The sequence below is a fragment of the Homo sapiens genome, chromosome 22 (assembly GCF_000001405.40).
Source record: "Homo sapiens chromosome 22, GRCh38.p14 Primary Assembly".
In the NCBI taxonomy this organism is placed as follows: Eukaryota; Metazoa; Chordata; class Mammalia; order Primates; family Hominidae; genus Homo; species Homo sapiens.
The window spans coordinates 22,087,615-22,102,735 of NC_000022.11; the positions used below are offsets into that span (position 1 = coordinate 22,087,615).

Sequence of the window (15,121 nt, forward strand, 5' to 3'; positions counted from 1 at the left end):
CGCCACCATGCCCGGCTAATTTTTTGTATTTTTAGTAGGGATGGGGTTTCACCATTCACAGGATTGTCTCGATCTCCTGACCTTAAGTGATCCGCCCACCTCGGCCTCCCAAAGTGCTGGGATTACAGGCGTGAGCCACCATGCCGGGTCTGTTTCAGCCTATTTTTTATGTGTCTTTTTATTGAGGAATAATTAACAAAATAAACCCCTGATATTTAAAGTGCCCAATTTTGTGTGTTTTAAGATATTTATACACCCTTGGATAATCACCACAATGAATCAGTGATTCCATCAGAAGAAATCGGTGACTGGTTCTGGCAGAATCCAGGGAACCCTATCTAATATCTCGTGAACTTCTACTTGGACTCAAGTAAGAAACAGGGCTCTGAGGCTCCCAGCCACATCTTGGGATCTAAAGATGCGTCGGCCTGTGCAAGGATTTTGCACGTTGCTGTGCTGCAGCCTGAGAATGGGTCTGTCTCGGGGTCTGCACAGGGGCAGTGGATTTCACAGTGGCTCTGAGGCTTACACAGGGCTCCAGGCCCATGGGAAAGTGAGACACAAATCTTCCCTCTGCTCTCTAGGCCTGGTGCAGTGATCCTGGCTGGAGGCTCTGATAAATCTAGCTCAGAATGTAACTTCTGTTGTGAACATCTGATTTTCCTTGGACAAATAGTTCTGACAATATCTTATTTCAGTTCGACTAGTATATCGATCCATTGCTCATACTTCTCATTCCATTCTTGCTTTCGCAATCGGTGGACCCTGTCCTGTGCCCACAGTTCTCTGCATCTCTCCCTGCTAGTCCAGCCTCCTGCAAAGGTTCAGCTCCCAGAAGAGACTCCTACATCCACTGCCCTGGAAGAAGCAACACTATGAGTAGAATGGCAAGATTTTGTCACATCAGCACTGGGGATAACTCATCACTACTCTGGGCCCATTGAAGCAATCACATACTCTCTGAACCTCAGTTTTCATTTTTGGCAGCATGTAACCCTACCTCAGCAGCTCTTGCTTTCAACATGGGGATGAGCTGAAGAAGAGGCTTGTAAATGACAAGTATCAGTCACTGTTCACCGTGCAGGGGTGTCTGTGTCCTTCTGTGTCAGGCTTTGTGCCAGCAGGGCTGTGCCCCGCAAACTCTTCCAAGGTCCTCCATGCAGTCTGTGTTCCCTCATCTGGCCACATTGTCTGGAAGTTAAGGTCACCTCCTCATGCACTGGAACAAGCAGCAGAGTCGAGTGGACAGCGTGGCCTGGCACCGCCAGCTCCTACGGGAGCCCCAGATGGTAATGCCTGCTGGTCTCCAGCTTGCAGGGTTCTGATTTTGGGCTCTTGCTCTAGGTCTGGCCACTTGGGCTTCTGCAATACTCTGGGATCCTGTATGAGGATGAGGGTGATGATCAGTGTTCAGGATGTGGAAAGAGCCCCAGGTTAACCCAGGACACCTGTCTCATGGGGACATGAGGCACAAGCCTCCCATCTGATCCCACAGCCTGGCCTATAGACTCACTTTAATTTTGTGTGACTGTCACCTGACTCAGGACATTCCTGCAGTCATTTTTTCCTCCAGGACTGATGGAATGAGGCCATTCCCTGGGTCTGTCGCCTCATATGCAGTCGACCTATATACTGGGCTTTCAGGATAAAACATTCCCAGCCTGGGCATTGCAATACAGACAGGCAGGTAGCTCAGACAGAAAATACTCTTGTTGATTCCAGATTTCTGGGCACATGGACTTGGTGTGTGTTTGTGTCCATGACTAAGGTCAGGTTTGGGGTTGGGAGTGAGAGTGGTCACCACATGGTCCAGGAAGAATGTGTTGTCAAAGATAAAATTCGTACACCTTCCTGCCCTTCCCTGTACCTGAGGCAGCTTCCTGAAGCCTGCAGGTTTCTGAGATTCTCCATAAATGGAGAGGAAACATCCCATAGAATGGATGGGTTTTTTTTGTCCCAGACAAAAAGACAAGACAGGACGAGGGTACAGATGTCAGCAAGGGTTAAACAGCAAGTATGCACTTGATCATGCCAAAGAATACTGAAATAGCTTTGAGGGTAATTCAGTGTCCTTGAGAATTAAAAACAAATTGGAGATTGAGGGCTTCAAACCCCCATTAGGTCCTTGTGCAAACAGATGCTGAATTCCAACCCACATTAAGAAAGAGGCTAAAAAGATGAGACAAAATCTCTGAAAGACAGGTGGAGGGGATTTCTGCAGTTTCTTGGTGCTTAAGAGACAGGGACCTGCCAGGCACTCACCTGAGAAATCCTGCAGGGTCACAGCACAGGGAAGGGAATGTGTCGGGTACATAAGATGACTTTGATGTTGAAAACACCACCTCTACCACTGATAATGGTTTTCATCATTCATACTTAGGTGCATGTACAACCTCTAGCAACCATAATTACCACAAAGGACAGGCATTGTGTAAACTTTTATGAGGTTCTGTGTTATAAAATAATTACACAAAATGTATAAATAATGTGGGCACTAATAAGGTGAGGTTATATGTTGCAATATCTGGGGTTCCTATTGAATTTATAGAATGTAAAACTAAATAGGTGCTAATGTAAAATGATACAGTTAGAAATACTTGATTCATGAAAAATAAAAAGTGAGCGAAAAGAAATAAAGCAAAAAGCCCAAATAAAATAAAGAGAAAGGTAAACTCACACACAATATCAGCAATTATATTCAATGTAAATGTGTTGATGAACCAGATAAAAATAATTTCCTTAAAATAAAGTTACTTGTGTGTTATATTTTAAAGGATGCTAAAAATACACTATGCAAACATTTACCTGCAGAAAGCTCTTGTGGTTATCTCGGTATCAGACCAGATAATTTCAATGAAAATTATTTACATCAGGAAATGTGGGACATTTTATGTATATAAAATGAAATATTTGACAAGAACACATAACAATTATAAAATACACATCAGTCCATGCATGGTGGCTCACGCCTGTAATCCCAGCCCTTTGGGAGGCCAAGGTGGGTGGATTGCTTGAGCTCAGGAGTTCTAGACCAGCCTGGGCAGCATGGCAAAATTTCATCTCTAAAAAGTACAGAAAAAAAAATTAGCCAGGCACGGTGGCATATGTGTCTGTAGTCCCAGATACTTGGGAGCCTGAGGTAGGAGGATCCCTTGAGCCTGAGAGGTGGAGGTTGCAGTGAGCCAAGATAGCGCCACTGCACTCCTGCCAGGGTGACAGAGTGAGATCCCATCTCAAACAACAACAAACAAACAAACGAACAAAACAAACCAAAAAAGCACACACAAATAAACAAACCAAAAAACATGTCCCTAATAATATAATCTATATAAAATATAAATTAGCAGGACTAAGGAAGAGAAAAGAATCAATTCCCAATTATAGTTATAAATAATAGCACACACTTCTATTAACTGAGTGAATCAGCAGAAAAAAAATTGCACATAACAATATGTGAACAACCTGAAAAACCAAATTCACCCACTGACGCCAGGAGCCCAAACCTGAGGAGTAGTTGGCTAATGAATATGTATTACTGAAACGATTGAATAAGTGCTAGAAGAAATAAATGAGGCATTCATTATTTTTACCCGATTTGATGCTTCTCCTCTCTGTCCTGTGAGCAGGGGGCACTCCCATGTCTATTCCTAGTCCCATTCTTATCCCCTCGTCTCTCTCCCCAAGACTGAGCTGCATTCTGCAGGGTGGCTCCCGTCCCCCTGGAGTAAATGACTGACGTGAGGAGCCCTGCCTTCCAGTGCTGCTGTTTTCATCGTGCTCTGGTTTGAATGTCTCCCTTCCAAAAGGATTTATACTTAATTGCCAGTGTGATAGTACTAAGAGGTAGGCCTTCAAAAGGTGATATAGTCTTGAACACGGAGACCTCACGGTTGGGATCAGGTCTCTTATATAAAGGCTGGAGGTAGCGGTGTGCTCTGTCTCTCTTCTTGCCATGTGAGGACACAGAAAAAAGGCACTTATCAGATGACAGTGCCTTGATCCTGAACTTCCCAGCCTCAAAAACTGTGAGAAGGCCAGGTGCGGTGGCTCATGCCTGTAATCCAAGCACTTTGGGAGGCCAAAGCAGGTGAATCCCTTGAGTCCAGGAGTTCGAGACCAGCCTGAGCAACATGGTAAAACCCCATTTCTATAAAAAATACAAAAATTAGCCAGATGCAGTGACAGGCACTTGTAGTCCTACCTAATCAGGAGGCTGAGGTGGGAGGATCACCTGAGCCTGGGAGGTCGAGGCTGCAGTGAGTTGTGATTGTGCCACTGTACTCCAGCCTGGATGACAGAGCGGGAGACTGTCTCAAAAAATTAAAAAATAAATAAATAAAAAATAAAACAGTGGGCGAGATAAAGAAAATGTGTTACTTATATACCACGGAACACTATGCAGCCATAAAAGAAAGTTATGTTCTTGGCAGCAACGTGGATGGAGCTGGAGGCCATTATCATAAGTGAACTAAGCCCCGAACAGAAAACCAAATGCTGCATGATCTCACTTATAAGTGGGAGCTAAACTATGAATATACCCGAACATACAGAAAGGAACAACAGACACTGGGAATGACTACCAGACCAAAAAAAAAAAAAAAAAAAAAGAGGATCCACCCTGTGGATCCTCTGCCCACTGCCTGGGTCATGAGGTTGTTGGGACCCCAAGCCTCCGTGTCATGCAATCAACAGATGTAACTAACCTGCATGTGTACCCTTTAAACTAGAATAGTAAGAGTAAAGAGCATTGAAAGAAAAAGTCAAGATCAGAAGCGAAGAAAATAATAAATGAAAAAACACAATCTATAGTTATCCAAACAATCCATGACTGTCACAAACACAGAACAAGGACCCAGTGGACAGAATGAGGCAGCCAAATACTCAACCCAACATGATACATAGGGAACACATTTTTCAAAACACCAAAAAGACACAATGGGAAAGGGAGAGTCTGGTTCAAGAAGTGATTTTGAGAAAACTGAATATGCACATGCAAAACACTGAAATAAGACCTTTGCATTGCACGATACACAAAATCAACACAAAATAAATTAAAGACCTAAACTCAATCTTGAAACTGCAAAGGTCTTATAAGAAAACATAGGTTGGGTGTATATTTTAGGAAGCCTGTATCTATGCACACAGGCTGCAAAAGGTGAAAAATAATCATAACACTAAAGGGAAAATTAGGGGAACTACATGCACAGACAATGCAATGGCTTGGCTATATATGTGTGTGTGTATGTGTGTGTGTTTTGTAGGGTGGAGGTTTGGATACAAAAATTACAGCTAACATGCAAATATAAACAAAGACACTAGTGACACTTTAGAACTTCTACAGGGGGAAAGAAACAATGAAATAAACAAACAAACAAAATGCATCCTAAAGACTAGGAGAGAATTATGGAAAGTCCTACCTCTGAAAGAGATTGTTATCTAACACCTACAATAAACTCACTCTACTAAATGAAAAACAACAAAAACAACAACAACAAATACCCAAGCTAAGAGGATCTGAATAGACATGTGTGTAAAGAAGACAGGAAATTGACTCACAGGTTAACAGTTTCTCAATATCACTAATCCTCACAAAAAAGTGAATCAAAACCATACTCAGGTACCATATAATTCCAGTTAAAATGAATATTGCAAAAGATAAAAATAAAAATTGTTGGAGGTGATGGCTGGTGTAGAATTGCAGGAAGGAAAACTCTTGTACGCTCTTTGTGGGAATGTAAATTAGTATACACACTATGCAAAACTGTTGGAGGTTCCTTAAAAAAGTAAAAGGTCAAAGTACAACCACCACTCCAGGTTAACAATCCCACCACTGGGTACACATTTAGAGGAAACAAAATCCCTGCATTGAAGAGGTATCTGCCTTCCCATGTGTCCTGAAGCACTAGTCACAATAGTCAAGATATGGAATCAACCTAACTGTCCATCCACAGATGAAGAGATAAAGGAACTGGATATATACATGATGGAAAGCATTTCAGCCATAACAGTTTGGGAAATCATTGATCTGCAGCCATGTGGAGAAACCTGGAAGACAATTAGGGGAAATGAAATGAGCCTGTTAGAGAGAGACCCATACTGCATGACATTAGGCAAATGGAATCCAAAAAACACTGTCTTCTAGAAGCAGAACTTTCAATAGGGGTTACTAGAAGCTGGAGAGAGGAGGGGGCCTGGGCAGGGATTGGTAATGGGTACAGAGTAACACTCAGAGGAGAGGAATCCATTCTGATGTTCTATTCCACAGCAGGGTGACCAGGGTCAACAATGTCTAGGGGAATTTTTCAAAAACAGCTGGAAAGGATGGTTCTGAATGTTCTCTCCACAGGGAAATAATAAGAAGCCAGACACCATGATTTGATCATGACACTACGTATACATATATCAAAATGTCCCTTGCACCCTCTGGTTATATACATACACTCTATAGTAATGAAACTGCCATCAAATGTTGGTAGTATTCATTCTAACTGGAGTGACATAGAATCTGAGTGTGGTTTTCAATCATGTTTTGGTGTGAATCGGCCATGTTGATAATCTTATCTTTTACCTGTGCATCAACCTCATGTCTTCAGGTCCTCTGCCCACTTTTACACATCAAATTCAAAACAAATTAACAATAACATGGCAAATATAACTAATCACACACACACAGAAAATGAAAACCACCACTCAGATTCCATCTCACTCTAGATGGAATGGATACTACAAAAAAAAAGTTGAAAAATATTAAAAGACAAAAAAACGATGGTGTGGATTTCCAGAGGGGGAACTTGTCTCCGCAGTTCGTAGGAACATAAACTAGTACACACACTAAAGAAACCACTTGGAGGTCCCTCCAAACCTTAAAACCACAACTACCATTTCATCCAGCAATCTACTACTAGTCGTATATACAGAGTACATGAAATCAAGCCATGGAAGAGATTATCTGCGTTCCCAGGTGGAATCCAGCACTATGCAGAATGGCCAAGATGAGAAATCAGCCGACCTGTCCATCTGCAGATGAAGGGATAAGGAAACTGTCCCATGCGTAGACACTGGAATACTCTTCAGCCAGAAAAATACAATGAATTCCCATCACGGGAGCCACACGGTTGCACCTGGAGGACATGATGGTAAATGAAATGAGCCAGGCAGAGACAGACAAACTTTGCATCCTCTCACTCATGCAGAAGCTGAGAAACTTTATCTCAAAGACCTAGAAAGCATAATCATGGTTACCAGAGGTTGGGGGGAAGAAGGGGAAGGGGCAAGGATTGGAAAGGGGTAGAAAGTTCCACACAGATGAGAGGAAGGAAATTCTGTTTTTCTATTCCACAGCAGGGTGACTAGGGTTAATAGCATCATTACATCTTCAAAACAGCTTGAAAGGAGGATACTGAAGCTTCTCGCCACAAAAGAATAAACAGTGGTACGAAATAACAGAAAAAATAAATACCCTGATTTCGTCATTCCACAATGTATGCAAAGACCAAAATGTCGCACTCTACCCTCTCATTGCATTCCTTTACTATTCAGCAAATTTGTTTAAAGAAATATAAATACATGATGCTAGAATTCACATGGGACCATGAATCACCCTGAATTTCTTCCAAAGCAATCCTGAGACATTCAGACTACATCAGATGCATCTCACCCACCGATTTCAAATTTCATGGAAAAACTGGGTACCTGCTTCCACACAGAGCAGTGGAACACAAGAGAGGGCCCAGAAGTAAACTCACACACCAAAAACCATCTGATCCTTGACAGAATCCACAACAATAAGCAAGGGGGAAAGGATGCCCTATTCAAACAATGGTGCTGGGATAAGTGGTTAGCCATATGCGGAAGAGTAACACTGGGCCCCGACCTCTAACCAGACACAAAAAGAAACTCCAGATGAATGAAAGATTTAAATGGAAGACCTCAAACTATTAAAATCCTGCAAGAAAACATACAAAATACCTTTCTCCACACAGGTTTTGGCAAAGAATCTATTTGGCTATGTCCCCAAAGGAAATGACAACAAAAATGGACAAGCCATGCTTAATACTCTAAAGAGCCACCACACAGCAAAATAAATTAGCAACAGAGTAAGAGACAGCATACAGAGTGGGAGAACATGTTCCCAAACTGCATCTGATCAAGGTCTAATATCCAGAATCTTCAAGGATCTTATGCCAATCATTCAACAAAAAACAACAAAAAAATCCCATTAGTGTATGGGCAAGGGATGTGAACACACACTTCTCATAGGACAATGTGCAAGTGACCAACAAAGAGGGAAACATGCTCAAACTCACTCATCAACAGAGAAATGCCAATCAAGAGCAGGTCGAGATACCATCCCACACCACTCAGAGCGGCGATGACTATGCAGACAAAGAAAGAAAGAAAGATACTGGCGAGGCAGCTGAGGAGAGGAAAGGCTGATATGGTCTTGGTGGGGGAAGCAAGCTAGTACAGACACTGTGGAAAGAAGTTTGGAGATTTCTCAAAGAACTTAGAACTACCATCCAACCCCACAATCCCTCTCCTGAAGATCTACCCAAGGAAAATATATCCTTCTATCCAAAAGACACAGGCACTTGTATGCTCACGGCCGTGTTATTCACAATGGTAAAGAAACGGAATCAACCTAGGCATCCATCAACAGTGGATAAGATAAAGAAAATATGGTATGTATACACCACAAAACACTACACAGCCCCCAAAAATCACATTTTTGGCAGCAACATGGATGGAGCTGCAGGTCATTATCCTAAGTGAACTCAAGGCCAGAACAGAAATCCAAATGCCACACATTCTCACTTATAAGTGGGAACTAAACTATGAATGCACCTGAACGTAAAGAAGGGAATGATTACATTAGGAATAACTACCAGACCAAAAAGAAAATGCAAATGGGAGGGAGGGGGCGTTGCGTCCTGAAGACCCACCTTGTGCGTCCTCTGCTCACTGCCCGGGTCATGGAGTTGTTGGGAGCCCAAGCCTCAGTATTATGCAACCAACAGATATAATTAACCTGTGTGTGTACTCTTTCATCTATAATAAAAGTAGAAACTATTACACACACACACACACACACACACACACACACACGAAGAAGCTTAAGAGCTACATAAACAAAAAAATAAGTAAAATCTATAGTTATCCAAACAATCCCTCACTGGCAAACACACAGAAACACTAACCTATGGACAAAATGAGAAAGCCAAAAATGCAGCCCAAAATTACATATGGTGAATGCATTTTTCAAGAGAACACCAAATATCACAACAGTGAAGAGAGAAGTCTGCTAATTGTCTTTGAGTAAAATGAATTTCTACCTGCAAAACACTGAAATGGATCCTCATGTTACATAAGACAAAAAAATCAATGCAAAATACAGTAAAGATCTCCACCCAAAACTGAAAACACAGGGTGTTTTCACACCCTAGAAGAAAACACAGGGTGAGCGTTTACTTCAGTGAAACTTTAATCTATGTACACAGATTGCCAAAAGGAAAGAAAACAAAAGGGAAAAGTAGGAGGAAGAAACCCACAGACAATGCGATCTTTTTTCCTTTTTTTTTGTGACGGGACACCAAAGTCACCACATGCACATGCAAATAGAAACACGCAGGACTATGGAAAGCTTTAGAGATGTTCCACAGGAATGAAACCAATGAACCGAAAGAGAAGGTGTCCTACAGATTTGGAGACAGATCTGAAAAACTGTATCTCTGAAAGCGGTTGTTATCTAACATGTCCAAGAAACTAACACCACTGTGTTTGGAAGCAACAACAACAACAAAAAAGACAAAACAAAACAAAAACACAACAACACATATGCTGAAGCAAAACTGGGCAAAGGCCCTTAATAGACATTTCTGAAAAGATGACATGAATTGACTAATGAGTCAAAAAGAAGTTGCTCAACTTTATCATTTCTCCCGCAAAGGTAAGTCCAAACCACAGATTCTCTGGGATTCTGGAGAATGTGAATTCTGACTCAGTAGGTCTGGAGTGAGCCTGAGATTCTGCGTTTCTAAAAGGTTCATTTCCCCACAAATCCACATTATGTGTATTAATATTACCAAGTAAATAAGAAAGGTCAAAAATAAAATGGCAAGCCATTAGTAGATAACCTTAGTCTTCCTCCTCATCCTCCTCCTCCACTGCATGGGTTAGGATGGTCCCCAGCATCCTGATCCCCCAGGTCACTGACATCAGCTCCCAAACTCATGCCAGGAATGTCCTTCCCTCTTCTTCCTTCAGGCCATAATGGGTATCTATTTTTCCAGCATCTTTCTCCCAATCTGTGCTGATTTAGCCACCCTCTGTATCTGCCTCCCTGGGACAAAGGGTCAAACTCACCAGCACTCTGAGCAAGAGCTACAGCAGCTGCCACATAGACTATCCCCAGCAGAGCTCAGTGATGGACACCAGGTTCACAATGCCAGTGGGCAGTGGTGCTGTTTACTGCATCCAGTGGGGATGGAGTGGTTGTCCAGGCACAGACAGATGGACAATCACACAGCAGGAACAAATGTACATTCTGAAATTTAACAAAGACAGAATAAGGGACTCTTGGGGAATAGAGGTCTCAATTGCAGACATAGTGAGTGCCTCAAAAATTAGAGAACTGGGGCCATCTCTGTCATGGCCCGGATTCCTCTCTCCTTCATCCTCCTCAGTCATCAAAGAGATTCCATTAGGGGGCAATCAAAGGATGCTGGGGCCTGCTACTAGCTCCCAAAAAACACCACAAGCATTTCAGCAGGGAGAAAAGAAAATGCTCACAAGGATGGGGTTAGATTTAGTTATAAACCAGATTGTGTGGCAGGAGGGAGGACATATCCCCCATCCTTTGGCCACTCCAAAATTGGGAGAGCTAATCTGGGGAAAGGCACCAACACCTATTCATTAGTGTCTCGGTCCTGTGTGATCATGGGTCTGTGTGAGTTCTCAGCAGCTGCCTCTCTCAAGGTCTCCCCACAGGACAGCAGGGTGAAACCTGGGGCAGGAAGAGAGGGGAAGCTGATTTGCATAAAGAACTTTTTTTATCCTATTGGGTCTGGGGAGGCATGAAAAGGCCCTGAGGAAAACAAACCCCAGCTGGGAAGCCTGAGAACACTTAGCCTTCATGAGTGTCCCCACCATGGCCTGGATGATGCTTCTCCTCGGACTCCTTGCTTATGGATCAGGTCAGGGGAAGGGACTCTATCCCTGGGGGACCACAGAAAACAGGGTCCAGGTTACTCTCATCCTCATGATCATAACTGTGTCTCTCCTGTTCGTTTTAGGAGTGGATTCTCAGACTGTGGTGACCCAGGAGCCATCGTTCTCAGTGTCCCCTGGAGGGACAGTCACACTCACTTGTGGCTTGAGCTCTGGCTCAGTCTCTACTAGTTACTACCCCAGCTGGTACCAGCAGACCCCAGGCCAGGCTCCACGCACGCTCATCTACAGCACAAACACTCGCTCTTCTGGGGTCCCTGATCGCTTCTCTGGCTCCATCCTTGGGAACAAAGCTGCCCTCACCATCACGGGGGCCCAGGCAGATGATGAATCTGATTATTACTGTGTGCTGTATATGGGTAGTGGCATTTCCACAGTGATTTAAACCTATGAGGAAGTGCAACTAAAACCTCTTTATATACTGAGAACAGTTCAGCCCTTACAGACAGGAGGGAAAGTGAGAGGGTGGAAATGGTCAACACGGTGAGTGAGGAGTCTCCTCGCCCCAGTCTCTGACGCAGGGGTTCACTGCCAGGTGCCTCACCCAGTCTCTCCCCGGGTGTGTCCACCTTCCCAGTGTGGCTTTTCCATGGCTGTGCTTCGTCTCCACTGAGAATAATGTGGAGGGAGAATTATCTACAAAATATATAAGCTCACAGTGAGTCACAGACACCCCAGTGCTCCAGGAAGACGCTTCTTATTCAAAGAGAATTAACAGGCATATGCTCACTCATTAATTTGACCATGGAGGCTGACTGAATATTTTATTTATCACTGAAGTGGGAGCATTTTCAAGGGGCTTGTTAAAAATGTAATTCTCTAACCTAAACCTACTAAGTCAGAAACTTGTGTTGGTGACAGATAGCCTGTATTTAACAAGCTGTACATGAGATTTTTATTAGCGTTAATGTTTGGGAAGAACCTACTTTTATTATCATAAAATTATTCATAAGGATCTCCATTTATAATGATGTCAGGTTAATATTCCATAATCCTACTCTCCTAAATTCCCATTCAAAGCCCCCAAATACTCAGAAACAGATTTTAAATCTCAAGCCATAGCAAAAATTATAACTTGATTTATGCAGACAGAGTAGGGAGGAATTTCTAAAACCGTAAGTTCCTAGGTGCCAGGTGTGCTGACTCATGCTTATAATCACAATACTTTGGGAGGTTGAGACAAGAGGACTGCTTCAAGCCAGGAGATTGAGACCAGTGTCTTCCACATAGCGAGAGTCTATCACCACGAAAGAAAAAAAAAAGATATAAGTCCCTTCAGGAATTTCCAAAAACTTGTTTCCTTAGGGTATATTTAGTGGTCCATATGAACATCTGTTACTGAAAACCATCCCGTAGAGGACTGGCTTCCAGAATCCCTTCTCCCTCCCACTGAGCTCACCTACCTGTGGCTCTGGCTCTCAGGGTCTTTATAGGACACAGGGCTCAGCCTCTTATCACCGATTGTTCCACAGGATCATGGTTCCACTGAGATCCTCTCAGCATAGATACGTACCTGTCCTGAACAGTGTCTTTTAACATAATGTTGGCAAGATGGGAAGGACTAAGGGGTGACGGAGCCTTGGAGCCACCAGAAGATGGCAGTAACCTCACTGCTGAGCTTTGCTAGGCCAGACTCAGGCTCCCACCCTCCTCCCTTCCTCTGACTCTTTCTTCTGGCCACCCGGGGTCCAGGAGCTTTTTCCACTCAATCTGGGCTCAGGGGTCACCTCAGAGAACCTCTCAAGACAAAGGAGGTGCTTCAGGGGATCTAACACAAGTGAGGGCAGATTTTAAGACTGTCCATGCACAGAAAATCCTGTGAAAAGAAACAAACCAGCCCTACTTGTGTCTGCGCACCTGAGTCCTTAGGACTGTTTTCTCCTGATCTCCTGGCTGAGTAAAGATTGCAAATGTGCGGTTCATTATCCAGATCCAGAGAAATCCATGAGAGTTTATGAAGACAAAGACGACAACTACCCTATCTACTTGTCACACAATGAAGACACTGGCCTTAGATCTGTCAGTGCCCTGGAACATTCTGGAAGAAGAGGGTGAAGGTTACTTGGCATACGTTGGGACTCAAACATGAGGATCTCATGATGACCCAGAGGGATAAAGGTGGGATCAGTTGTGAGGGTGGAAAATGTGGATTTCTTAAGGCCATTTTGTTAATCCTTTTCTCATTGCAAAGGATTTAAACTGAAATGAACACGATTTTTCTAATAAATGCTTATGAGGCTTTCCATTAAATTTAATCATATTTCCTGCCTTTATGAAAATAAATATAGAAATAAAATATACTTCCATAATGCATTACTGATTGTGTATCTTTAAACTAGAGGGAACCATTACTTCTAAAGAAAAATTACTAGGATTGTTTGCATTTTAATCTGGGATCCTACATGATGGCTACAGATACAGCTGTTGTTCAAGGTTTTAGCCTGGAATCTCTGCCAATTCAATAACGGAGGCAATAAAAATAGACACTAGTATTATAAAGACAGAATTCATTTATTTTGAAAGTTTTGAAAGCTATGAATATCTACCAAGAATAAAATAAATTGTACTGAAAATATATTAGAATGAATTAAAAAATGCCAAATTCACAACTAATAAAATTTATTATAAAGTTAAAAATTCTTATATTTTTCTGTCTCAGTATAAAAAATAAACATTTAATGTATCTATTAGAAAATAATTAGCAATTTTGTAAATGATATCAAAGAAAATTTGAACAAATGGTGAAATATTTTCTTATCTGCGGACACCAAATTAAAAAAATTCAGGCCAGGTGCAGTGGCTCACACCTGTAATCCCAACTACTTTGGGAGGCCAAGGCAGGAGGATCTCTTGATCCAAGGAGTTTAAGACCAGCCTGGGCAGGGACGGGTGCAGTGGCTCATGCCTGTAATCCCAGCATTTTGGGAGGCTGAGACGGCAGATCATGAGGTCAAGAGATCAAGACCATCCTGGCCAACATGGTGAAACCCTGTCTCTACTAAAAATACAAAAATTAGCTGTACATGGTGACGCATGCACTCCTGTAGTCCCAGCTACTTGGGAGGCTGAGGCAGGAGAATCACTTGAACCGGGGAGGCGGAGGTTGCAGTGAGCCAGATCGCACCACTGCACTCCAGCCTGGTGACAGAGCGAGACCCCATCTCAAAAAAAAATTAGCCAGGCATGGCTTCATGTGCCTATAGTCCTAGCTACTAGGGAGGCTGAGGTCGGAGGATTGCTTGAGCCTGGGAGGTCGAGGCTGCTGTGAACCGAGATTGTGCTACTGGACTCCAGCCTGGGTGACAAAGTGAGACCCTGTCTCAAACAAACAAACAAACAAAAAACCAAAAAAACCCCAAAATAAAACAAAAATTCAACAGCATGTAGATTAGTAATGTTAGTGCTTTATTTTTAAAAATTATTGTTAACTTATATGGGTTTTCCTCTGAGAAGGTGCACTGGAAGGTGTCAGCAGAGCAGATAGCACAAACTCCTCAGATTTCAGAAGCAGGGGTTTATGGTAAATGAAAAATGCCAGTCACTTGTCAGCATGCACAGGTGGCTATGCCCGCCCTGTGTCAGGCTCTGTGTCAGTAGTAGGGTGCTCCATGCGTCCTTTTCAGAGTCCTACATGCCATCTATGCTCACTCAGCCAGGCCTGTCACCTGGAAGTAACAGGCAACTCCTCCTGCACTGGAATTAGCAGCAGAGTCAGGTGAATAATGTGGCCTGGCCACACCACCTCTCAGCAAATGTCCCCAGTGGTGATGCCCGATAGTTCCCAATCCTCCTTAAGTAATTAATTCACTTCAATTGAATTAAAAAAATCAATCACTTCCCTATGACACACAAGGACATTCACTCTCTGGCTTTAACTATCCTTGCCTGCCTTGTT

The 15,121-nt window shown here is 42.9% G+C and overlaps 1 long non-coding RNA gene, 1 gene segment (V, D, J or C) and 1 further gene; 2 read left to right on the forward strand and 1 right to left on the reverse strand.

Moving 5' to 3' along the window:
- Positions 1 to 15,121, forward strand: part of IGL (immunoglobulin lambda locus) — an 896,838-nt gene that overhangs the window by 61,539 nt on the left and 820,178 nt on the right.
- LOC102724653 (uncharacterized) lies at positions 161 to 11,092 on the reverse strand. Of its 4 annotated transcripts, none has more exons than XR_938059.3 (3): positions 10,363 to 11,092; positions 7,010 to 7,121; positions 161 to 1,380 (listed from the first exon to the last, which is right to left on the reverse strand). It is a non-coding gene; the product is annotated as an uncharacterized LOC102724653 (long non-coding RNA). The 4 variants fall into 4 exon arrangements; XR_430420.4 differs by lacking the exon at positions 7,010 to 7,121 and having other exon boundaries at positions 10,363 to 10,543; positions 10,905 to 11,086; XR_938061.3 differs by lacking the exon at positions 7,010 to 7,121 and having other exon boundaries at positions 161 to 858; positions 1,001 to 1,380; positions 10,363 to 11,082.
- On the forward strand, positions 11,147 to 11,598 carry IGLV8-61 (immunoglobulin lambda variable 8-61). The segment is given in 2 exon segments: positions 11,147 to 11,192; positions 11,292 to 11,598. Coding segments are annotated over 2 exon segments (353 nt in total).